The following is a 16,390-nucleotide window of genomic DNA, read 5'->3' on the forward strand; positions in this document are numbered from 1 at the left end:
GTCTCTGACTCCAGCAGGTCTGGCGCTGAGGTCTTCTAGACTTGTCCCTGACAGTGGGCACAGCCTCCCGCAGCCCCCTGCAGCCTCCTCGGCCTCCTCCCACACCAGGCTCTGCTCAGCGGGCCGAGGGCGGGCTGGGTGCAGAGAGCCTGGCTTAGGAAGAAACAGGGCTTGAAAACATGGTGTTTTTGTTTTTTGTTTTGGGTTGGGGTATCACTGTCACCCAGGCTGGAGGGCAGTGGTGAGACCATGCCTCACTGGAGTCTGGACTTCCCACCTCGGCTGAGGAACTGGGGTTTCTGAAAGTGCTGTGACTGGTACCATGGGCCACACTGCACGGGGAGGTGTGGCTCAGTGGCAACTTAGTGCCACATCCCCTTGTGGCACGAGCATCCCCTTGTGGCACTCACGTATTTCCACCCGAGCGTGGTCTTGCAGTTCTCGCAGTAGATGTCGGCAACCGCATGCAGCCCGGTGAGAAGGACCCTCTCCTCTGCAGGGCCGCAGCCCACGTTCACCCTGCGGGGACAGAGGGGCCACTGCGCTGCAGGCCCGGCCCGCCCCTGACCAGGCCCTGCCCCCTCAGCGGGCCCCACCCCATCCTCCTAAGAGTTCCCCCAAAACAGGGAAACTCCCAGAGAGCAGTGCCGTGCCTCTCCCCCAGCCCTGCCCGCCACCACCATCAATGGGAAAGATCAGTGATGGGACAGGCTAGGGGGCAAGATCCTTAGCGCGTTTCAGAAACTCCCGGCGGGGGGATGGTGGGTTCTTTCAGGACCCCTAAAGACCCAGGTGATTCTACACAGGGCACTGTGTAGGTGCCATCCAGGCCGTCCCAGGGCCCGTGCCGCTCCCCCCGGGCTGAACCAGGGTACTCACACGGAATTGAAGAGGTAGGCGCGTCCCTGGCTCCCCTGAAAGGACTGAAAGAAGAAGGTCCCGTGAGATTGGCTGCGAGTGCTTTCTGGAACGAAGCGGTGCTGCCCAGAACCAGGGGAGTCCAGCCCCGCGGCTGTTAGCTGCGCCGGGACGCGTCACCGGGAGCAGACACCGGCGTCCCCCCTCCAGAACTCCACTTCTAATAACAGCCACTTAACGGAGCTGCAAGCTGTTTTTCATTGTAGACAGGAGTGGCTGATTCTGCTGCGTCAACATTCTGCAAGTGACTATTATTGGGAATCATGGCAAGATCAGTTTTTAAATGGTGAGCTTCATATGTCTGGACAACTTTACCTTAGAGGAGTTCTGAGAGGGGATCACGAATGATTTTCTCTACCCGAAAACCCACAGATCCTCAAAATGCTCTCCTCGCCGCCTCTTCTGCAGCAGTTCAGATGTGCTCACGCTGCCAGATATTAGGGGGTAGGGGGAGGTGTCCATATTTTCCCACTGAAATGTTTTAAAAGTCACAGCATGGCTGAGTATGGCGGCTCACGCCTGTAATCCCAGCGCTTTGGAAGGCTGAGGTGGGCAGATCACCTGAGGTCAGGAGTTTGAGACCAGCCTGGCCAACATGGTGAAACCCTGTCTCTACTAAAAATACAAAAGTTAGCTGGGCGTGGTGGCGGGCACCAGTAACCCCAGCTACTTGGGTGGCTAAAATAGGAGAATCACTTAAACCCGGGAGGTGGAGGCTACAGTGAGCCAAGATTGCGCCACTGCACTCCAGCCTGGGCAACAAGAGTGAAACCCCGTCTCGAAAAAAAAAAAAAAAAAAAAGTCATAGCACAAGATGGCCTTTCACTTGGAGAAAGGCCATTCCAGTGACATCTATCTCACCAGGAAAATAAAACAAGCTGAGAAACAGCTCATGGTATATTCACGTATGCTAAGATGGCTGAGCGTGAAAGAGCCAGAATAGGGCATCTGCACCCCCTGATGCACTTGGTCACTCCCCACGACCTTTGCCCTCACGGGACAGGTGGGAACGCCTGCTCCAGTGCCAGCCTCAAGTCTCAATCGACCTCAAACATAATCAAAGAAATGCAAACCAAATCAAAAATTTTGGGGGGAGTTGGGGTTTTGAGATGGAGTGTCACTTTGTCACTCAGGCTGGAGTGCAGTGGCACCATCTGGACTCACTGCAGCCTCTGCCTCCAGGGTTCAAGCAATTCTCCTGCCTCAGCCTCTCCAGTAGCTAGGACTACAGGCACGTGCCACTAGGCCCAGCTAATTTTTGTATTTTTAGAGATAGGATATTTTAGAGATAGGGTTTCGCCATGTTGGCCAGGCTGGTTTCGAACTCCTGGACTGAAGTAATCTGCCTGCTTCGGCCTCCCCAAGTGACGGGATTGCAGGCGTGAGCCACTGCGCCTGGCTTACATTACAGTTTATAATGGAGGCTGTCATTTAAAAATGTCTTAGGTGAGCTGGTAAGAGATGCTCGCTCAATACCACTCCCACAAAGGAAACCGCATATGTCATACATGATGTACGCTGTCAGATTTTCATATCTAAATTTCATTGGAAAGAAAACAGGAAAGCAACATTTCTGTATAAAACAAAGATGGTTTTGTATTGGCAGGCATGAACCACCATGCCCAGCCCTTTTTTGGGGTTTTTGACCTAACAAAGGCAAAAGGCTATGAGGAATGTGACTGAAACACGATTTGACAATATCGAAGTGGAAAAAGCACACACTATAGGACCCAGCAGTCCCACTTCTAAGAATTTACTGTAAACAACAAACCAGCTTGAGTGTATAAGGAAATGTGACAGGAATGGTCACAGGTTACAGTGTTCATAATTAGGAAAACAAACAACAACAACAACAAAAACGGGCTGAGGCAGGAGGATTGCTTGAGCTCAGGAGTTCGAGAGCCATGATTACACCACTGCACTCCAGCCTGGGGGACAGAGCAAGAACCTGCCTCTAAAAAACATAAATAGGCCAGGCGCGGTGGCTCACGCATGTAATCCCAGCACTTTGGGGGGCCGAGGTGGGTGGATCACCTGAGGTCAGGATTTTAAGACAAGCCTGGCCAACATGGAGAAATCCCGTCTCTGATAAAAATATAAAAATTAGCTGGGCATGGTGGAGGGTGCCTGTATTCCCAGCTACTCAGGAAGCTGAGGCAGGAGAATTGCTTGAACCTGGGAGGGGGAGGTTGCAGTGAGCCAAGATCGCGCCATTGCACTCCAGCTTGGGCGACTAGAGTGAAACTCTGCCTCAAAAAAAATTTTAAGAAAGGCTGGGCGCGGTGGTTCATGCCTGTAATCCCAGTACTTTGCAAGGCTGAGGCAGGCAGATCACAAGTTCAGGAGTTCAAGACCAGCCTGGCCAACATGGTGAAACCCCGTCCCTACTAAAAATACAAAAATTAGCTGGGCATGGTGGTGCGTGCCTATAATCCCAGCTACTCAGGAGGCTGAGGCAGGAGAATTGCTTGAACCGGGACCCGGGAGGCAGAGGTTGCAGTGAGCCGAGATCGCGCCACTGCACTCCAGACTGGGCTACCGAGTCAGGCTCCGTCTCACAAAAAAAAAAAAAAGAAAAAAAAATTTAACCTGGAAGTCAGGTACTCATCCATAAGTGAGTAAGCAACTGCATCCGCATATGGGCCTCATGCAGGGGATGGGAAGGTAGGAGCAGATATGGAAAAACAGTCATAGGCTAGGCACCATGGCTGTAATCCCAGCACTTTGAGAGGCCAGGGTGGGTGGATCACCTGAGGTCAGGAGTTCAAGACCAGGCTAGGCAACATGGCAAAACCCTGTCCCTACAAAAAATATAAAAATTAGCAGGGCATGGTGGCTGTGAGCCTGTACTCCCAGCTACTTGGGAGGCTGAGGCAGGAGAATCGCTTGAGCACGAGAGGTGGAGGTTGCAGTGAGCTGAGATTATGCCATTGTACTCCAGCCTGGGTGACAGGAGAAGCCCTGTCTAAAAATAAATAAATAAATAAATAAAAATAAAAATAGTCATAAAAGTCATAAAATACTAAGTGAGGAAAAGTTAGCTGTAAAGTGAGTGTCATTTGAGCCCTTTATTTAAAGTGAAAAATGTGTTTCTATTAAAACAAAATAAAGACAACAGATGCCAAACTACTAACAGTGACATCTCCAAGGAATGGAGCCGGACAAGGCAGGAGGAAGAAGCAAGTCTCCTCGTTTACACATACACATTATTTTAATGTGATTATGTGCAATATTATATAATTTAAAAAAAATTAAAAGGACCTGGCACAGTGCCTCATGCCTATAATCCCAGCACTTTCGGAGGCCAAAGTGGGAGGATCACTTGAGGCCAGGAGTTCGAGACCAGCCTGGACAACATGGTGAAACCCCCTCTACTAAAAATACAAAAAATTAGCCTGGTGTGGTGGCGCACACCTGTAGTCCCAGCTACTCAGAAGGCTGAGACAGAAGACTTGCTTGAACCCGGGAGACAGAGGTTGCAGTGAGTGGAGATGGCACCACTGCACTCTAGCCTGGGCGACAAAGCAAGGCTCCATCTCAAACAACAACAACAGCAACAACAAAAAACAAGAGCCCCCAGTTGTCCCTGGTAGACTTCTCACCTGAGCATGAACTAAACCTGTGTTTTAAGCTGTTGAGATCTGGGGAGGCTCTTTTTCCTCAGCATTCAGGCTTAAAAATGAGTATTCCCTTAAGTGGCATTCTGGGATTAGGAATATTATTCTATGTTCAGTTTAACTAATAATCATCTTATAGACTTTTCCCACATCCTCATCAGTCTTCAATATTCTGGACTGAATTTCCTAATTCTCACCTACTCTGAAAGTCCTTATTTTTAAATAGGGTTTGGCTCAGAGACAAGAGCAGCTCTGTGATTCAGATTCAGAGCTGTCTTATCAGAGTTGGCGCCAGCAAACTCCTCCTGTAAATTAGGGCCAGGAGATAAGTAGTTTAGGCTTTGGAGGACATATGGTCCCTGTTCTAATTACTCTGTAAACAGATGAGCACAGCTGTGATCTATTAAAACTTTGCATAAACAGGTGGTGTGGCAGATTTGGACCACAGATCAGAGTTTGCTAACTAAATGGAGCCTTCTAGTAACCAGAGCTGCCTACAGCAGCAACAGGCTCCCTCGAGCCAGGGGATTCCTTGTTAGTGACAAATACAAACTTAGAGGCTGTGAAGACAGTGCCTCTCGCCTCGCAGGTACTGGATTCTGTTCTGCGTGGCAGGTGTTCTCGATGGTCTCAATGAATCCTCATCAGAATCACCACGGAAGGGAGAAAAGCTCACTCTAGTCGTCATCTTGCCACCTCGCCCGGCCCATCACCCATGGAGGCACGAGGTCTGATCCTTCCTGGTGGCCTGTGTGCTCAGAGAGCTTAGTTCTCAGCACTTTTTTTCATCCTGAAATGCTCATTTGGCACCAAATGACTTCTGAGCAGGCTTCTGCCTTTTTTTTTTTTTTTTTTTTTTGAGACAGAGTCTTACTCTGTCACCCAGGCTGGAGTGCAGTGGTGTGATCTCAGCTCACTGCAACCTCTGCCTCCCAGGTTGAAGCAATTCTCATGTCTCAGTCTCCCAAATAGCTGGGATTACAGGTGTGTGCCACCATGCCCAGCTAATTTTTTTGTACTTTATTAATAGAGACAGTGTTTTACCATGTTGGCCATGCTGGTCTTGAACTCCTGACCTCAAGTGATCCACCCATCTTGGCCTTCCAAAGTTCTGGGATTACAGGTGTAAGCCACCAAGCCCAGCCAGGCTTCTATTCTTGATACAATTTTTTTTTTTTTTTTTTTTTTTAAGACAGAGTTTCGCTCTTGTTGCCCAGGCTGGAGTGCAATGGCGCGATCTCGACTCACTGCAACCTCCGCCTCCCAGGTTCAAACGATTCTCCTGCCTCAGCCTCCCAAGTAGCTGGGATTACAGGCATGTGCCACCACACCCGGCTAATTTTGTATTTTTTTTAGTAGAGACGGGGTTTCTCCATGTTGGTCAGGCTGGTCTGGTCTCAAACTCCTGACCTCAAGTGATCCGCCCACCTCGGTCTCCCAAAGTGCTGGGATTACAGGGGTGAGCCACCACGCCCAGCTGATACAATTTTTAAAACAGCTCATTGATGACCTCCAGGCTGTTCAACAGAAGCATCTCAAATTCCTTTTGACCATGTAGCAAGGAACACACCTGGCATGCTTCCGAAACAAAACCATGCATGGGGCCGGACATTGACCACCTCTCAGTGCTCAGGTCACCTGCTTAGGTCATGGCCAACACACAGGTGTCACGGGGCTCCACAAGGCCACAAGCTTCACTGCCCCTACCCAGGGGCCCAGAGCAGCTCCGCCTCTCATTACCTCATGTCATTTTACACACTAAGCCTACCTCAGAAAACACCGAGGAAATGGGGTGCCTGGCTCCTTCCACTTCTCACCTCACACTTCCCAGTGCACACAGGAGCCCCAGAGGCAATGAGAGAGCAGAAACTCTGCCTCGTTCAACAGTTTCTATCTCAGATGATGAACAGAAATGAGGAGCCTCTCACTATTACCTACTGAAAATACAAGCAGGTAAATGTTCTTCTCTTGAGTTAAACAGGAAACCTAAGAGATTCCTGGCTGGGCGTGGTGACTCACACCTATAATCCCAGCACTTTGGGAGGCCAAGGCAGGAGGATCGCTTGAGGCCAGGAGTACAAGACCAGCCTTGGCAACATGGTAAAACCCTGTCTCTACAAGAAAAAATAAAAGTAAATAAAATACCTATTTAAAAAAAGAAGAAAAGATTTCTGAAAGGCACAACTTCCTGACAAACTTTGTTCCCAAAGTGGTCGTGACCTGTGAAGATGGGGAGACGTCATGACCTGAGGATGGGGGGAGGTCATGGCCTGTGAGGATGGGGGGAGGTCATGACCTATAAGGATGAGTGGAGGTAATGATCCGTGAGGATGGGTGCAAGTCATGAATTGAGCATGGGGGAGGTCATGACCTGTGAGGATGTGGGAGGTCATGACCTGAGGATCGGTGGTCATGACGTATGAGGATGCGGGGAGTTCATGACCTGAGGCTGGGGGGATGTCATGACCTGAGGATGGGTGGAGAACACTGTCATTCCGACTGAGCATCAGCTCCTCCATGATGTTTGGCCTGTTTAAATGTTCACAACTGGTTGATGATCAACGCCACACACTGCTAATGAGGAGCTCAGCACAGTAAGGAGGGGCCAGGGGATCTTGTTTACATCTTCAAGGCTGCTCATGGGTTCTATGCACAGAGACCAGCCAGAGCTTCACCCAGGGCTCCTACACAACCGACAAACGCAGCCACACCCTCTGGGGCATTTTTCTGAGCAACCCCTTTCCTTCTTAACCATGCTGAGTTTTTAAAATGTCTTAATACCCTTATTATTAAACCATTTCCACAGATTTTTCTAGACTTCTTTTGCTCATTCAGTCCTCTCTGGCTTTCTGCTGTGAGTAACAAGTGATTCACCTTGCCCCTCGTAATCCCTGGGAGTGCCAGCTGCCTGGCCCTGGAAAACCGCCCACCATGCCAGGATCACATCTGAGATCGTGGCACAGCCACACTTAACCATGCACAAAACGCTCACCAATGCTGCCTAGAAGGCTCTAGACGTTCAGGACACAGCAGACTCAGGAAGTCATGTGATGCTTAAATATTCTTCCACTATGTAGGTACCACAATGACAGATAATCATTGTGCCATCAATTTTTTGGCATAAGCCACTTGCCTTGGAGATGAGCTCGTCATGATTGGCCAGGTGTGCTCTGCAGTGGATACAGCTGTACGTTCGGTGACAGTTCGGCAGATACGCTTGGAAAGTTTTGGACTTTGTCATTTTCACCATCTCTCCTGGGCACTCCTCACTCAGCTCAGGGCTGGTTCTGGAAGAACCGTGGCTCTGCTGGCCTCTCTGACAAAAGCAACACTGGAAAATGCACGCAAGAGCCGTCGTTGTCCAGGAGGGCGTGTGGCACTGTCCACACAGCTGGGACGAGAGAAAAACGTAACCTGCCAACCAATCAGACAAAGTGGTGGGTTACAGAGAGAACATGCGTGTGAAGCAGGTACATATGGGATTCATGTGTTGTGAAGCAACACGCGGGGTGGGGGGGTGGCAGGACTAGAATTTTTTTTTTTTTTTGAGATGGAGTCTCACTCTGTTGCCCAGGCTGGAGTGCAGTGGCGCAATCTCAGCTCGCTGCAACCTCCTCCTCCTGGGTTCAAGCGATTCTTCTACCTCAGCCTCTGAGTAGCTGGGATTACAGGAACACGCCACCAAGCCTGGCCTCCCAAAGTGCTGGGATTACAAGCACCACTGCGCCTGACCAAGATCCAACTCTTTAGTATCAATTGTAGACAAAATGAACACTGACACCATGCCACTGCTTAACCACTTTACATTTAGTTGGAAGTGAAAAAATGAACTCCTTTTACATGCAAATAATTTGAGAAAAACATTGATTCAAATTCTTCTTATACCAGGTTTGGCTTTGGAAACATGAAAGGAGAGGCAGAACCAAGACGCCCGGTGAGTGGGCCCGGTGGCAGGGCTGGATGCACCCCACCCCGAATCCGGGAATTCACCACGCAGAGCACCAGGACATTGAGGAATGTGAGTGATGGATCCAGTATTATTTAATCTTTAAGAAATTCCAGTCCTGAAATAAACCCTTATGTATGGTCACATGATCTTCAACAGGGTGTCAAGACCATTCAATGGGGAAAGGACAGTCTTTCAACAAATGGTGTCACAACAACTGGATATCCACCTGCAAAAATATAAAGTTGGACTCTTACCTAACACCGTATACAAATTAACTCAAAATAAAAGACCTAAATGTGAGAGCTAAGACTATAAAACTCTTAGAAGGAAACACAGGGGAAAAGCTTCATGACATTGGATGTGGCAATCATCTCTTGGATACGATACCAAAAGCATGGGCAGCAAAAGAAAAACAGACACATTAGACTTCGTAAAAATTCAAAACTTCTGGCTCGGTGCAGTGCTCACGCCTGTGGTCCCAGCACTTTGGGAGGCTGAGGTGGGTGGACCACTTGAGCCCAGGAACTCAAAACCAGCCTGGGCAACAAAGCAATACCTCATCTCAACTAAAAATACACAAAATTAGCTGGGTGTGGTCCCTGTGCCTGTGGTCCCAGCTACTTGGGATAGCTGAGGTGGGAGGATGGCTTGAGCCTGGGAAGTTGAGGCTCAAGTGAGCTGAGATCGTCCAACTGCACTCCAGCCTGAGCAACAGAGTGAAACCCTGTCTCTAAATAAATAAATAAAAACTTTTGTGCTTCAAAGGATACTATCAACAGAGGCAACCCAGAGAATGAGGGAAAATATTTTTAAATCATATACCTGATAAGGTGTTAATATCTAGAATACATATATTCTATATTCTCTCTATACATATTCTCTATATATCCATATTCTCTATATATCCTAGTTATTGGAATATGTAAAAAAAAAAAAAAAAAACAACTACAACTCAGCAAATCAAACAAACAGGTTAAAAAATGGATAAAGGGCCGGGTATGGGCCCGGCGTGGTGGCTCACGCCTGTAATCCCAGCATTATGGGAGGCCGAAGAAGGTGGATCACTAGGTCAGGAGATCGAGACCACCCTAGTCAACATGGCGAAACCCCGTCTCTACTAAAAATACAAAAAATTAGCCGGGCGTGGTGGCGGGTGCTTGTAGTCCCAGCTACTTGGGAGGCCGAGGCAGCAGAATTGCTTGAACCCAGGAGGCAGCGGTTGCAGTGAGCCGAGACCATATCACTGCACTCCAGCCTGGGCGACAGAGTGAGACTACATCTCAAAAAAAAAAAAAAAAGGAAAATGGATAAAGGACCTATGTATCTATATTCTCTATATATTCTAGTTGTTAGAATATGTTAAAAAAAACTCAGCAAAAAGAAACACAATCTGATTAAAAAATGGACAAAGGACCTATATATCTATATTCTATATAGTTATTAGAATATATTTAAGAAACTCCTACAACTCAACAAAACAACCCCAATCTGATTAAAAATGGACAAAGGACTTATATAAACATTTCTCCGAAGAAGATATACAGATGGCCCACAAGCACGTGAAAAGGTGCTCCATGTCACTGATCCTGAGGGAGGCAGACAAGGACCACGTTGAGACACCACCACACACCCTCTAGGACGGCTACTATCAACGCGCACACACGGAAAATAAGCGTTGGTGAGGATGTGGAGGAATTGGAGCCTTGTGCATTGAGGGTAAAAATGTAAAATGCTGGAGGCACTATGGGAAACAGTATGGTAATTCCTCAAAAAACGAAATATAGAATTACCATGGGCTCCAGCAATTCCACTGCTGGGTATAAATCCACGAGAACTGAAAACAGGGTCTCAAAGCCATGTCTGCACACCCATGCTCACAGCGACATTATCCACAACAGCCACGAGGGGGAAGCAACAGTGTGTCCCTCCACAAACGGGCATTCTCATGATCAAAATGTGGCGTCTGCATACAGTGGAATGTTATCCAGCCTTTAACAGGAGGGGGCTCCTGTCACAGCTACAGCATGGAGGAACCCTGAGGACACTATGCTCAGTGAAGTAAGCCAGTCACAAAGGACAAATATTGTATGAGGTACTTAGAGTAGTGGGACTCAGAGACAGAAAGAGCTGCCAGGGGCAGGGGAGTCCCCGCTTCATGGGTGCAGTGTTTCAGTTTTGCAACATGAAGAATTCTGGAGGTTGGAGGGTGGCGATGGCTGTACAAAAATGTGAATATATTTAATGTCACTGAACTGTACACTTAGAAATGGTTAAGATGGTAAGAGTTATGTGTACTGACTACAATTATTTTAAAGAAGAGTGTATCATTTTTACATTTCTAAGGTCTCATTAACAAAAGAAGGTTAAGTCCATGACTGATGCTGCCATCATCAGCAACAGGACGTGCGCCAAGTTTTCCTGGTGGCACCACCCCAGCCTGGCCTGTGACAAGGGGCCTGCAGAGAGTCAGGCACACCGGATTTTCTTTCAGGCCAAACAGAAGAGCAAGGGTTTCCCCAAATTCGAGAGCACGGGGCTGGGAAGAAGAGCCAAGCGCCAGCAGTGTCCTCACACCTGCTCCTCCTGAGATGCACCCCCCACCGCCCCCCACCCCATGTGACCTCTGCTCCGGCAGCAGCCTGTCCTGTGCCCTTCCATGGGATGACACCCAGGACGGCGTCTGCCCCCCACCTGCGCAGGCACGCCTGCATTAGAGGGTCACCTTCTCACATCTGGGACTGAAGATGTGTGTGGGCAGAACGCAGCGTTTGTAATCGTGTGAACGGAAGACACAAACGGCCGGTGGCGGCCACCCAGGATGGTACTGGGACCCGGTCACCACGGCGCTGCTGTGCCCTTCCTTGGTGCCCCGGCCTGAGATGCTGCCTAACTTGGACTTGGTGCTTCTTGGTCTTTGCTTGTCCTGATGGCTGTGCCCCGTGTGTGGCCCTGAGCCACACTGCTGCGTGTTCCGTGTTTTGAACTTGACACCGACGATGCTGTGAGACTTCTCTGCTGACGTGCAGCCAAGTCTGCCTCTGTCCCCATGTGCAGCTGGGCCCCCTTCACCTGGTGTCCCGTCAGATACACTGCATGCAGCCACTGACGGGGTGTGGATGTGTATCGGCTCCCAGGCTGGCTACTAAATGGTGCTGCTGTCGCTGTCACCTCTCCTGAGCCGCACAGGCAGGTGTTTCGTTGGAACAATCCCAGGAGCAGATGCCCGTGCACACAGCAGCACCTCCCAAGTGCCGGTGACAAGGTCATCCTGCCAGCAGCGAACATGAGTCCCTGCTGATCTTTATCCCGCCAACTTGATATGGTCAAATTTTAACACTTCTGCTGCCTGGCAGGTATAAGGCAGCAGCATCTCATTGTGGCTTTAATTTGCTTCAACCTGACCATACAGGTGGGCACCTTTTATGATTCCTCCTTTTCAAATCTTTGTCACATTTTCTATTAGCTGCTGGTCCTTTCCTTACTGATTCGTAGGAGTAAGTGATATATTCTGAAAACTAAAGCATACATTAAGCCATATCGGTCGTGGAATGATAAGCATTACTGGAATGTGGACATGACTGTGCCTGTGATGTAAGCTTCAGGAAACTATAGTGTAAGGCATGTATGTATAGTATGTGGATAAATGGATATGCCATATACACACACACACATACATATACATATATGTGTGGATTATGTATGTACATGTGCATTAATGGGTTTCAAGTTCTCTAAAAGAAAAAGTGTAACTAGACAAAAAAACTATTAAGGCTGGGTGTGGTGGCTCACATCTGTAATCCCAGCACTTTGGGAGGCTGAGGCGGGCAGATCGCCAGGTCAGGAGTTCGAGACCATCCTGGCCAACATGGTGAAAACCCCGTCTCTATTAAAAATACAAATATTAGCTGGGCGTGGTGGCGTGCGCCTGTAGTACCAGCTACTCGGGAGGCTGAAGCAGGAGAATCACTTGAACCCGGGAGGCGGAGGCTGCAGTGAGCCGAGATTGCACCACTGCACTCCAGCCTGGAGACAGAGTGAGACTCCATCTCAAGAAAAAACAACAACAACAAACAAACAAACAAAAAAACCCCACGCTGCTTACTATGTATAGTTCAAATAAAAAACATAAAAGGTAGATTTTTTATTTTTTTTATTTTTTTGAGATGGAATCTCTGTCGCCCAGGCTGGAGTGCGATGGCACCATCTGCGCTCACTGCAACCTCCGCCTCCCGGGTTCAAGTGATTCTCCTGCCTCAGCCTCCTGAGTAGCTGGGACTACTGGCACGTGCCACCACACCTAATTTTTCTTTTTCTTTTCTTTTTTTTTTTTTTTTTTTGAGACAGAGTTTCGCTCTTATTGCCCAGGCTGGAGTGCAATGGCACGATCTTGGCTCACCACAACCTCCACCTCCCGGGTTCAAGTGATTCTCCTGTCTCAGCCTCACGAGCACTGGGATTACAGGCATGCGCCACCACACCCAGCTAATTTTGTATTTTTAGTAAAGACGGGGTTTCTCCATGTTGGTCAGGCTGGTCTCAAACTCCCAACCTGAGTTGATCCACCTGCCTTGGCCTCCCAAAGTGCTGGGATTACAGGCGTGAGCCACTGCGCCTGGCCCTACACCTGACTAATTTTTGTATTTTTAGTAGAGATGGGGTTTCACCATGTTGTCCAGGCTGGTCTCAAATTCCTGGCCTCAAGTGATCTGCCTGCCCCGGCTTCCCAGAGTGCTGGGATTACAGGAGTGAGCCACCGCGCCCAGACTAAAAGTTACATTTTTAAAAAAGAGGTGACTTAAGATTTCATAGAAACCAACTTTTTGTAAAACTATGATAAGCCAAATACTTGGACCAGCCCTCCCACTGAGAAGTACCAAAAATGCTGACAAAATAAAAGGATGTTTTCTTAAAGGCATCCAGGGGCTGACAAGACAGTGAGGAGCCGCCAGGCACCATCTGGGGAAACCAGAAACCAGAGAGGCGAGCCAAGCCGCTCTTGCCCTGAAAACATCTGCCCCCATCCAGCCACCCCGGGCTTCCGATGAGAACTCTAAGGCTGGTCCCCACCCCACAGAGCAGTGATCATAGGACAGCCCTCACAGGACTTATGGCCCAAATTCACACCAGTGAGAAGATTCCAAAAGCTCACAGTTGATGGATTTAGTTTAAATTGGCTTTAGGCTGACAGCGCCCTGAGGTACCTGGCAGAAGGAAGCGTAAACCTAGTTTGGAGGAAGCATCTTTATCCTAGATCTGAAAAATTCCCACAAAGTCATTTTTCCAGGACAATGAGTAATGCAGTCAAAAGTAACCACACATTCACAGAAACAATGCCCCATGAGCAAGGACAGAAAAGGCCAGCAGCAGGACCAGATCCAGAGACTCAACATCTCAAAGACCTGAGGCAGACCATGAGGCTCCTCCACTTACCTGTACTCACGGAGGGAACCGATGAGCTTGAGAGTATATGTAACCAACAGCAAACGAGAAAAAAAATGACCTTGCAGAAAAACAGGTGTAGACATTCTAGAAATAAACAGCATTCAGCCCAATGGGTTTAACAGGAATAGGAGAATAAAAAGAGAATACCTACACTGAAGATACGTCAGAATAAATTATGCTGAATAAAGAAGAGCGAGAGGCCGGGCGCGCTGGCTCACGCCTGTAATCCCAGCACTTTGGGAGGCCGGGGCTGGGGGGGCGGGGGGCGGATCACAAGGTCAGGAGTTCGAGACCAGCCTGGCCAACACGGTGAAACCCCGTCTCTACTAAAAATACAAAAATTAGCCGGGCGTGGTGGTGTCTGCCTGTAGTCTCAGCTACTCAGGAGGCTGAGGCAGGAGAGTTGCTTGAACCCGGGAGGCGGAGGTTGCAGTGAGCTGAGATTGCGCCACTGCACTCCAGCCTTGGGTAACAGAGCAATAGTCCGTCTCAAAAAAAAAAAAAAAACAAAAAAACAGTGAGGAAGGTGGAAATATGAGTCTTAAACTAAGAGATGTGAAGCAGGGAGAGATGACATTTATTTGGATTTCAGAAGGTTGAGGCAAGAAGAAAATGGGGTAGAGGCGCTTTGTGAATAATTGATGATTGTGGATTCTCCAGAATTAAGGAAAAGCTACTAATCCACAGACTTAAAAAGCCCAACAGTCCTAAAGCAGGATAAATAAAAATAAAGCCACAGCTAGACAAATAATGAAACTGCAAAACACCAAAGATAAAGGGGAAAAAAGTCTTAAAAGTGTCCAGAGGAAGGAAAAATGACCTGTTCAACAGAACAAGCTCCCAGGTAAAACAAGAGCCCAAAAGGCAGCAGAGAAAGGGACAATTATGATTCTGAAAGATAATAACTGATATCTCAGATTTTACATTCAGTGAAAATATCTTTCAAGAAGTGGGGCAAAGGCTGGACATAGTGGCTCACACTTGTCATCCCAGCACTTTGGGAGGCCAAGGCAGGAGGATTGCTTGAGCCCAGGAGTTTGAGACCAGCCTGTGCAACAGTGAGACCCTGTCTCTACGCAAAAAAAGTGTTTTTCAATTAGCCAAGTGTGGCGTCACGTGTCTGTGGTCCCAGCTACTAGGGAGGCTGAAGTGGGAGGATTGCTTGAGCCCAAGGGGTCGAGGCTGCAATGAGCAGAGATTGTGCCACTGGACTTAGCCTAGGTAATGAGTGAGACTCTGTCTCAAAAAAAAAAAAAAACAAAAACAAAACAACAACAACAACAACAAAGAGTCTGAGTCTGGGTGCAGTGGCTCATGCCTGTAATCCCAGCACTTTGGGAGGCCAAGGCGGGTGGATCATGAGGTCAGGAGATGGAGACCATCCTGGCTAACACAATGAAACCCCATCTCTACTAAAAATACAAAAAAAATTAGTGGGGCGTGGTGGTGGGCACCTGTAGTCCCAGCTACTTGGGAGGCTGAGGCAGGAGAATGGCGTGAACTCAGGAGGTGGAGCTTGCAGTGAGCTGAGATCGCACCACTGCACTCCAGCCTGGGCAACAGAGCGAGGCTCCATCAAAAAAAAATAATAATATAAATAAATAAATAAAAGAAAAAAGACTGGCATAAGATACAAAAACAGGTCAATGTGACATGAAAGAGAGCCCGGAAACAGACCACAGGTGGATACAGACAGCACAGAGGAGCTCTGCAGCGCCTGGAGAACAGTTCCCAGGGGAATACTGCTGGACCAAGCACATCTGCAGGAGAAGAGAAACCAAGCTGAATCCGATTTCATTAACAAAATCAACAGTTCATCACATTTATCAACAGAGATGACTTCATCTAGCAGGAATTTTGTGGAGGAAATTTCTGTACAAAGGTATACACGTGTAAATACACACACACACACACACACACCATCTTCTAAATGAAGTCCATTTCTTTCTCCAATATTATGTTAAAGAATTTCTGAAAAAGTCTGCCTATATTGGATATTCCTGATGGGTGATTTCCCCAAACCTTAAACTCTTTTTCTTACTAGCTGCTATTAAGTCATCTTGTGCCAATCCTGAAATTTTCTCTTGGGTTTCTTAGAATCAAGAAGACCTCACATTTAGCGTTAACACAGTACATTTTATTAGATCTTATCTATTGCCCTGAACTACTGGGCCCTTCATGAATCTGAACCCTGCCATCTCTTCCATCTGGCATCTCTTCCATGAAACTTGCTGACATGCCCTGGGGAGGTCATGGGGACAGGTATCAGCTCGGCCACCACCCTCCAGGAGCCCAGCACCACTTCCACCTCTGCTCTCCTGTCCACATGTCCCACACGGTGCACGAGGATGTCATGTGACAACTTGTCAGTAGCTCATTCAAATCCATGCATGTTGCACCAGTTCATGGAAGGAAGCGTTCTGACTTCACTTCTTACTGAACTCATGTTCAATCTCTGTGATAT

At 48.2% G+C, this 16,390-nt stretch overlaps 1 protein-coding gene across 4 annotated transcripts in view, besides 3 other annotated features; it reads right to left on the minus strand.

The window, feature by feature from the left end:
• Nucleotides 1-16,390, minus strand: part of YPEL1 (yippee like 1) — a 38,259-nt gene that overhangs the window by 5,424 nt on the left and 16,445 nt on the right. For 2 of the 4 annotated variants that reach the window (NM_013313.5, XM_047441355.1), the window contains exons 2-4: nt 7,669-7,949; nt 880-923; nt 411-519 (exon numbers count right to left, since the gene is read on the minus strand). In NM_013313.5, the coding sequence (NP_037445.1) occupies nt 411-519; nt 880-923; nt 7,669-7,785 (270 nt within the window). In that variant the 5' untranslated portion in view covers nt 7,786-7,949. Of the gene's footprint in view, nt 1-410; nt 520-879; nt 1,167-7,527; nt 7,950-11,206; nt 12,287-16,390 lie in introns of those variants that run through there. The other 2 variants (XM_047441356.1, NR_130910.2) reach the window with 2 other exon arrangements.
• Nucleotides 7,084-8,283: an enhancer, noted in NCBI's record as "CDK7 strongly-dependent group 2 enhancer chr22:22064332-22065531 (GRCh37/hg19 assembly coordinates)". NCBI's record gives its function as "activates an origin of replication core promoter dependent on BRD2, BRD4, P300/CBP, MED14 and CDK7 cofactors, with strong dependence on CDK7, by STARR-seq in HCT116 cells {active_cell/tissue: HCT116}" and the evidence as "EXISTENCE:reporter gene assay evidence [ECO:0000049][PMID:35650434]".
• Nucleotides 10,652-10,701: an enhancer, noted in NCBI's record as "active region_18704". NCBI's record gives its function as "activates an Ori minimal core promoter by ATAC-STARR-seq in GM12878 lymphoblastoid cells {active_cell/tissue: GM12878}" and the evidence as "EXISTENCE:reporter gene assay evidence [ECO:0000049][PMID:35858748]".
• Nucleotides 10,910-11,068: a silencer, noted in NCBI's record as "fragment chr22:22068158-22068316 (GRCh37/hg19 assembly coordinates)". NCBI's record gives its function as "represses an EF-1alpha promoter that drives an FKBP-Casp9 reporter gene in an ReSE screen in K562 erythroleukemia cells {active_cell/tissue: K562}" and the evidence as "EXISTENCE:reporter gene assay evidence [ECO:0000049][PMID:32094911]".

The sequence above is a fragment of the Homo sapiens genome, chromosome 22 (assembly GCF_000001405.40).
Source record: "Homo sapiens chromosome 22, GRCh38.p14 Primary Assembly".
Classification (NCBI taxonomy): domain Eukaryota; kingdom Metazoa; phylum Chordata; class Mammalia; order Primates; family Hominidae; genus Homo; species Homo sapiens.